A 9,516-nucleotide genomic window follows, 5' to 3' on the forward strand; every position below is an offset into this window, starting at 1 on the left:
ACTTTACCTGTTCCTCAGGGCTCTATTTTCAGGAACATGCAAGCTTCAGATATGTTACCAATGCGGCCATGATAGCAATGACTAAGTTGTGCAAACATCATCAACTTTGCAATTACTCTCCTCCTCACTTTCCTCCTCCTAAGCTCTGGAAGCTATGAACTGTTTGTTTTACTCACTGGTATTTCCCCAACTCATATCTTATTTGACACATACTAGGCACTTCGTAAATATTTAATAAAGGAGTGATAGCTTTAAGAGAAAGTATTTTTTGCCTTGTTAGAGTAAATCTGAGTTTTAAAATCATTTTTGTAAATGAAATAAAATTTGGTATCCACATTCTAAAGAGCTTATTACATTATAAAAGGTATTTACAAGGCATTAGAAATGTTTATAGGAAATAATATTCACCAGTTTATTGTTCAGCAATTCACTTTATCAGGACACTATAGATTCTCATAACTGATTTTTTTTCAAAGCATTGTTATAATTAAACGAAGAGAACTGGAATTCTCCAAAGACATATATAGTTTTAGAGAGTTAGGAAAATCAAATTAAGAAGAAAGATGAGCATGTGTGTTGGGAGTGCGTGTAAGTGTGTGGATATGTTTGTGTGTCTCTGTGTGTAAAGAGATCCAACCTGGCGAAAGAGTCTTTAGAGCTGTAAGTTGCCTTAGAGATTATTTTTCAATTTAATTTAACAAGTATTGAAACTGAAGCACAAGGAGGTTAAATGGCCAGTGACCTCCTAATTGCTAAATCCAATAAACCTTTCTCAGACCTTATCTTATTTGACCATGCTATTGCATTTTATGTTGTTTACCTTCTCTAGGTCTGTGCATACGCTGTTTCTGCCACTCAGAATGCCATCCATTCCACTCCTTCCTATCCTTGCCCCCTACTCTTCTCCCAGGACAACACATCTTTTAAGCTGTCCTGGTCTCCAGCCCTCAAGTAGAACTTTGTTTTAGTTTAATGTTTCTCAGTTTTTCTCATTATTTCCCCCAGATAGCCTTTTTAGACATTTTTCCACCTTAATTCTCCTCACTTTTCCCCTTACTCCATTCTCTGGTGAAATTTTAATACTGCAGATAGACTTGTATATCTTTTTATGCATTGTGACCTTTTGGAAGGCAACAAACCATTATAATATCGAAGATTTTTTTCCCCTCAAGAACCAATTTCTCCTCCTTTGGGTGAGATCACCCTTGTTGAGAACATGTGCTCCAGTAGAACCCAAATGTCACAAGAGTTTCCCCGTCCTGTGGATTCAAAATAGGATCACAAAGGGCTCCAAACTTTGCCCATTTTGCTAAGTAAATTCTAGTCTTTTCCATGGGATTTCCTCCCTCCCTAAACTCCTCATGGTGTTTATCTGTTTTTAAGAAATCAGTCTTTGTTCTGTCTGCCTGGGAGCTGGGGACACAACATTACTGTTCAGAATGAGCTGTACAAAAGCTGTCCTCCATTTTGCCCTTGGTCACGATGGTTCAAGCTGACAAAGTGCCGCTGGTGGGCAGTGAATCTCAGAACACTCTGTGGTTGCTGCCACAACTGCCTGGTGGGGTGGGGAAGACAGTCACTATTGCTGCTTTTGCTCTTGGCTGTAGGTGCTTATGTTTTCTGGCCTCGGTCTAGATATCTGGTAAAGTAATTGCTCAGCCAAGTGTGTATTGCAGCAATATTTTGTGGTGATATAACTCCTTCAACTCCCATCTCACACCGCCATGTTCTCTAGGTACATTCAGGATACCAGGTCAAATTTCAGCTTCCTGGGTGCCCCATAGTCTCTCCTCCCTTCAAGCTTGGCTCATGTTGTTCCATCTTCCTGGCATGCTCTTTCTTCTCTTTTTCCAGTAGATAATGCTACTCTCGGTTGCCATATCACTTCTTTCAGGAAGCTTCTTGGATGCCCCTTTAGAATCTTTATTTGTTATTCGTCCTGTGTGCTCTGAAGGCGTCCTGGATTCCTAGGTTATTATATACAGATTGTTTCTTTGTCTATATATCCTATCATACTCTAAGTTCCTTGAAGGCAGAAAGCACATAGGGTTGTTAGATTTAGCAAATAAAAATACAGGACTCCTAAATGTATTTTCCAGACAAACAACAAATAATTTTTAGTATAAGTAGTCCCATAATTGGATATTTGAATATGGAACATACATATTTGAATATTTGAGTATAGAAAATACTTATACTAAAAATTATTCATTATGCCATTCAAATTTAACTGGTTATTCTATATTTTATCTGGCAATCCTACAAACATATATTGTGCTTATTGTATTCCTGGAGCCTAGCACAGTTCTAATCATCTAGGAAGTACTCCATAAATGTTTATGGAATGAATAAATTTATTCTAGATGCTGGTGACATAGCAGTGAATGAAAACAAAAGTCTTTGCCTTGTTGGAGATTACATTCTAGTGGGTGAATACAGATGATAAATAAGTAAGTAAAATATATAGTATGTCAATGTTGGTAAGAGTTATGGAGGAAAATAAAGGAGAAAAAAGGACATAATATGGAACTAATTTTTTTTCTCTTCAAACTTGCTCTATGTTCATTTGTTCTCATCTCAGCTGATGGCAATTCTATTTTTCCAGTTGCTTGGATCAAAACTCTGGAAGTCATCCTTCCTCTTTCTCTTCTATCCCTCATCCAACCTGTTAGGAAATTTTTTTTAACCTTCAAAATATATCCAGAATCTGACCACTCATCACTACCTCTGCTGGTAGCTCCTTGTTCCAAGCCAGCATCATCTCTTGCCTGGGTTATTGCAATAGTATTCAAGATGGTGGCTTTTCTTCTGCTCTTGTCCTTTTATATCCCATTTTCAACACTGCAATCAGACCAAGTCTTTTAAAATGTAAGTCAGATCATACCATTTTTCTCTTTAAAACTCTCCTGTGGGTCCCCATTTTTTTCATTCTAAAAGACAAGGTCCTTAAAATAGTTATCATGGTTCTTCATGAGAATCCTTATTCCAACCCCTATTCCCCGTCCTCCCTCTGTTACTTCTCTGACTCTCCTCCAAAAACTATATCGATCTAAGATGACCAAGTAACTATCTTGGTTTGCCATGGATGCTCCTGCCTTACCACTGAAAGTCACACATCTAAGGACACCCCTGAGTACCTGGCAAACTTGGACAGTTGCTCACCCTACAAACCACTGTAGCCATGGATGCCTTTTTACTGATCCTCAGGCATGTCAGACACACTCACTCCTACCTTTGGCCTTGGCATTTCTTCTGCCCGTTTGGAAAGCTCTTCCCCCTGCATCTGCATGGCTAATTTCCTTACTACCTTCAAAATTTTGTTCTGATGTTATTCTCACTAAAGCTTGCCCTGAAAGTGCTATTTCCAATTACAACTCTTTTCTCATCCCCTCTGAACAGTGTCACTAATATCCCTTACTCTGTTCTAGTTTTCTATGCATAGCATTTATATACGTCTAACACACTGTATAATTATTAATGCATTTATGTTTATTATTTGTTTGTTTCCCCATGCTAGACTGCAAGCCCCATCAATGCAGGAATCTTGTTTGGTTTGCTGTTTTGTCCTGAGCACCTAGGACAGTACTTGCCTCATACGGGTGCTGGATTAATATTTGGTGAATTAAACTGAAGAGGGATTGGAGGTTGTTTGGGGTGGAGGGAATTAAAATGATAGATAATGGTCACAGAAGAAGGTGATATTGGAGAGAACCTGCTTTGTGAATCTAGGGGAAGAAACAGGGAGAGGGAATGGTGAGTGCAAATGTCATGGGGCAGGAATGTGCCTGGCCTGCCTGGGAAGAGTGATGAGGCAGTAAAGCTAGTGCAGAGCAAACACAAGGTAGTGGTAGGAGGTGGTATAGGAGAGGAGATGGTGTTTCAAATTATGTAGAGCAAAGATCGTAAGAATCCTTTGGATTTTATTGTGCACAAAATAAGAATCCAATTGGACAATTTGGTGGATGGAGATTGGTGACTTGATCTGGATCTGATTCAGCATTAACAGTTCACCTGGTCACTATGTTGACCAAAGCCTATAGGAAACAAGGGCCGAAGCAGGGAGAGCAGTCATGAAATTGAAATGAAGACAGAGAGATGCTGTTGGTTCAGACAAGATTAGTAGCTGGGGAGGTAGCAAGAAATGGCCAGATTCTGGATGTACTTTGAATTAAAGCCAACAGGAAATGTTGATGAACTGAATGTGGGATGTGAGAAAAACAGGAGTCAGGAATAATTTATAGTTTGTTTTTAAGTAAACTCTTTCTTCAAATATAGCATGCATGCATAAAAATGCCCAAAGCATAAATATGTAGCTTGGGGAATTTTTCTTTTTTCTTTTTTTTCTTTTATTATTATACTTTAAGTTTTAGGGTACATGTGCACATTGTGCAGGTTAGTTACATATGTATACATGTGCCACGCTGGTGCGCTGCACCCACTAACTCGTCATTTAGCATTAGGTATATCTCCCAATGCTATCCCTCCCCCCTCCCCCCACCCCACAACAGTCCCCAGAGTGTGATGTTCCCCTTCCTGTGTCCATGTGATCTCATTGTTCAATTCCCACCTATGAGTGAGAATATGCGGTGTTTGGTTTTTTGTTCTTGCAATAGTTTACTGAGAATGATGATTTCCAATTTCATCCATGTCCCTACAAAGGACATGAACTCATCATTTTTTATGGCTGCATAGTATTCCATGGTGTATATGTGCCACATTTTCTTAATCCAGTCTATCATTGTTGGACATTTGGGTTGGTTCCAAGTCTTTGCTATTGTGAATAGTGCTGCAATAAACATACGTGTGCATGTGTCTTTATAGTAGCATGATTTATAGTCGCTTGGGTATATACCCAGTAATGGGATGGCTGGGTCAAATGGTATTTCTAGTTCTAGATCCCTGAGGAATCGCCACACTGACTTCCACAATGGTTGAACTAGTTTACAGTCCCACCAACAGTGTAAAAGTGTTCCTATTTCTCCACATCCTCTCCAGCACCTGTTGTTTCCTGACTTTTTAATGATTGCCATTCTAACTGGTGTGAGATGGTATCTCATTGTGGTTTTGATTTGCATTTCTCTGATGGCCAGTGATGATGAGCATTTTTTCATGTGTTTTTTGGCTGCATAAATGTCTTCTTTTGAGAAGTGTCTGTTCATGTCCTTCGCCCACTTTTTGATGGGGTTGTTTGTTTTTTTCTTGTAAATTTGTTTGAGTTCATTGTAGATTCTGGATATTAGCCCTTTGTCAGATGAGTAGGTTGCAAAAATTTTCTCCCATTTTGTAGGTTGCCTGTTCACTCTGACGGTAGTTTCTTTTGCTGTACAGAAGCTCTTTAATTAGATCCCATTTGTCAATTTTGTCTTTTGTTGCCATTGCTTTTGGTGTTTTAGACATGAAGTCCTTGCCCATGCCTATGCCCTGAATGGTATTGCCTAGGTTTTCTTCTAGGGTTTTTATGGTTTTAGGTCTAACATTTAAGTCTTTAATCCATCTTGAATTGATTTTTGTATAAGGTGTAAAGAAGGGATCCAGTTTCAGCTTTCTACATATGGCTAGCCAGTTTTCCCAGCACCATTTATTAAATAGGGAATCCTTTCCCCATTTCTTGTTTTTCTCAGGTTTGTCAAAGATCAGATAGTTGTAGATACGTGGCATTATTTCTAAGGGCTCTGTTCTGTTCCATTGATCTATATCTCTGTTTTGGTACCAGTACCATGCTGTTTTGGTTACTGTAGCCTTGTAGTATAGTTTGAAGTCAGGTAGTGTGATGCCTCCAGCTTTGTTCTTTTGGCTTAGGATTGACTTGGTGATGCGGGCTCTTTTTTGGTTCCATATGAACTTTCAAGTAGTTTTTTCCAATTCTGTGAAGAAAGTCATTGGTAGCTTGATGGGGATGGCATTGAATCTATAAATTACCTTGGGCAGTATGGCCATTTTCATGATATTGATTCTTCCTACCCATGAGCATGGAATGTTCTTCCATTTGTTTGTATCCTCTTTTATTTCATTGAGCAGTGGTTTGTAGTTCTCCTTGAAGAGGTCCTTCACATCCCTTGTAAGTTGGATTCCTAGGTATTTTATTCTCTTTGAAGCAATTGTGAATGGGAGTTCACTCATGATTTGGCTCTCTGTTTGTCTGTTATTGGTGTATAAGAATGCTTGTGATTTTTGTACATTGATTTTGTATCCTGAGACTTTGCTGAAGTTGCTTATCAGCTTAAGGAGATTTTGGGCTGAGACAATGGGGTTTTCTAGATATACAATCATGTCGTCTGCAAACAGGGACAATTTGACTTCCTCTTTTCCTGATTGAATACCCTTTATTTCCTTCTCCTGCCTAATTGCCCTGGCCAGAACTTCCAACACTATGTTGAATAGGAGTGGTGAGAGAGGGCATCCCTGTCTTGTGCCAGTTTTCAAAGGGAATGCTTCCAGTTTTTGCCCATTCAGTATGATATTGGCTGTGGGTTTGTCATAGATAGCTCTTATTATTTTGAAATACGTCCCATCAATACCTAATTTATTGAGAGTTTTTAGCATGAAGGGTTATTGAATTTTGTCAAAGGCCTTTTCTGCATCTATTGAGATAATCATGTGGTTTTTCTCTTTGGCTCTGTTTATACGCTGGATTACATTTATTGATTTGCATATATAGAACCAGCCTTGCATCCCAGGGATGAAGCCCACTTGATCATGGTGGATAAGCTTTTTGATGTACTGCTGGTTTCATTTTGCCAGTATTTTATTGAGGATTTTTGCATCAATGTTCATCAAGGATATTGGTCTAAAATTCTCTTTTTTGGTTGTGTCTCTGCCCGGCTTTGGTATCAGAATGATGCTGGCCTCATAAAATGAGTTAGGGAGGATTCCCTCTTTTTCTATTGATTGGAATAGTTTCAGAAGGAATGGTATCAGTTCCTCCTTGTACCTCTGGTAGAATTCGGCTGTGAATCCATCTGGTCCTGGACTCTTTTTGGTTGGTAAGCTATTGATTATTGCCACAATTTCAGATCCTGTTATTGGTCTATTCAGAGATTCTACTTCTTCCTGGTTTAGTCTTGGGAGAGTGTATGTGTCGAGGAATTTATACATTTCTTCTAGATTTTCTAGTTTATTTGTGTAGAGGTGTTTGTAGTATTCTCTGATGGTAGTTGTATTTCTGCGGGATCGGTGGTGATATCCCCTTTATCATTTTTTATTGCGTCTATTTGATTCTTCTGTCTTTTTTTCTTTATTAGTCTTGCTAGTGGTCTATCTATTTTGTTGATCCTTTCAAAAAACCAGCTCCTGGATTCATTAATTTTTTGAAGGGTTTTTTGTGTCTCTATTTCCTTCAGTTCTGCTCTGATTTTAGTTATTTCTTGCCTTCTGCTAGCTTTTGAATGTGTTTGCTCTTGCTTTTCTAGTTCTTTTAATTGTGATGTTAGGGTGTCAATTTTGGATCTTTCCTGCTTTCTCTTGTGGGCATTTAGTGCTATAAATTTCCCTCTACACACTGCTTTGAATGCGTCCCAGAGATTCTGGTATGTTGTGTCTTTGTTCTCGTTGGTTTCAAAGAACATCTTTATTTCTGCCTTCATTTCATTATGTACCCAGTAGTCATTCAGGAGCAGGTTGTTCAGTTTCCATGTAGTTGAGCGGTTTTGAGTGAGATTCTTAATCCTGAGTTCTAGTTTGATTGCACTGTGGTCTGAGAGATAGTTTGTTATAATTTCTGTTCTTTTACATTTGCTGAGGAGAGCTTTACTTCCAAGTATGTGGTCAATTTTGCAATAGGTGTGGTGTGGTGCTGAAAAAAATGTATATTCTGTTGATTTGGGGTGGAGAGTTCTGTAGATGTCTATTAGGTCTGCTTGGTGCAGAGCTGAGTTCAATTCCTGGGTATCCTTGTTGACTTTCTGTCTTGTTGATCTGTCTAATGTTGACAGTGGGGTGTTAAAGTCTGCCATTATTAATGTGTGGGAGTCTAAGTCTCTTTGTAGGTCACTCAGGACTTGCTTTATGAATCTGGGTGCTCCTGTATTGGGTGCATATATATTTAGGATAGTTAGCTCTTCTTGTTGAATTGATCCCTTACCATTATGTAATGGCCTTCTTTGTCTCTTTTGATCTTTATTGGTTTAAAGTCTGTTTTATCAGAGACTAGGATTGCAACCCCTGCCTTTTTTTGTTTTCCATTTGCATGGTAGATCTTCCTCCATCCCTTTATTTTGAGCCTATGTGTCTCTGCACGTGAGATGGGTTTCCTGAATACAGCACACTGATGGGTCTTGACTGTTTATCCAATTTGCCAGTCTGTGTCTTTTAATTAGAGCATTTAGTCCATTTACATTTAAAGTTAATATGGTTATGTGTGAATTTGATCCTGTCATTATGATGTTAGCTGGTTATTTTGCTCTTTAGTTGATGCAGTTTCTTCCTAGTCTCGATGGTCTTTACATTTTGGCATGATTTTGCAGCGGCTGGTACCGGTTGTTCCTTTCCATGTTTAGTGCTTCCTTCAGGAGCTCTTTTAAGGCAGGCCTGGTGGTGACAAAATCTCTCAGCATTTGCTTCTCTGTAAAGTATTTTATTTCTCCTTCACTTATGAAGCTTAGTTTGGCTGGATATGAAATTCTGGGTTGAATATTCTTTTCTTTAAGAATGTTGAATATTGGCCCCCACTCTCTTCTGGCTTGTAGGGTTTCTGCCGAGAGATCCGCTGTTAGTCTGATGGGCTTCCCTTTGAGGGTAACCCGACCTTTCTCTCTGGCTGCCCTTAACATTTTTTCCTTCATTTCAACTTTGGTGAATCTGACAATTATGTGTCTTCGAGTTGCTGTTCTCGAGGAGTATCTTTGTGGCGTTCTCTGTATTTCCTGAATCTGAACGTTGGCCTGCCTTGCTAGATTGGGGAAGTTCTCCTGGATAATATACTGCAGAGTGTTTTCCAACTTGGTTCCATTCTCCCCGTCACTTTCAGGTACACCAATCAGATGTAGATTTGGTCTTTTCACATAGTCCCATATTTCTTGGAGGCTTTGCTCATTTCTTTTTATTCTTTTTTCTCTAAACTTCCCTTCTCGCTTCATTTCATTCATTTCATCTTCCATCGCTGATACCCTTTCTTCCAGTTGATCGCATCGGCTCCTGAGGCTTCTGCATTCTTCACGTAGTTCTCGAGCCTTGGTTTTCAGCTCCATCAGCTCCTTTAAACACTTCTCTGTATTGGTTATTCTAGTTAGACATTCTTCTAAATTTTTTTTCAAAGTTTTCAACTTCTTTGCCTTTGGTTTGAATGTCCTCCCGTAGCTCAGAGTAATTTGATCGTCTGAAGCCTTCTTTTCTCAGCTCGTCAAAGTCGTTCTCCATCCAGCTTTGTTCCATTGCTGGTGAGGAACTGCGTTCCTTTGGAGGAGGAGAGGCACTCTGCTTTTTAGAGTTTCCAGTTTTTCTGTTCTGTTTTTTCCCCATCTTTGTGGTTTTATCTACTTTTGGTCTTTGATGATGGTGATGTACAGATGGGTTTTTGGT

General features: G+C 39.1%; 1 annotated feature.

Annotated features, from left to right (window-relative positions):
* Window positions 681-881: a silencer, noted in NCBI's record as "peak328 fragment used in MPRA reporter construct". NCBI's record gives its function as "represses an SCP1 promoter by STARR-seq MPRAs in K562 erythroleukemia cells {active_cell/tissue: K562}" and the evidence as "EXISTENCE:reporter gene assay evidence [ECO:0000049][PMID:32103011]".

The sequence above is a fragment of the Homo sapiens genome, chromosome 1 (assembly GCF_000001405.40).
Source record: "Homo sapiens chromosome 1, GRCh38.p14 Primary Assembly".
Lineage (NCBI taxonomy): Eukaryota > Metazoa > Chordata > Mammalia > Primates > Hominidae > Homo > Homo sapiens.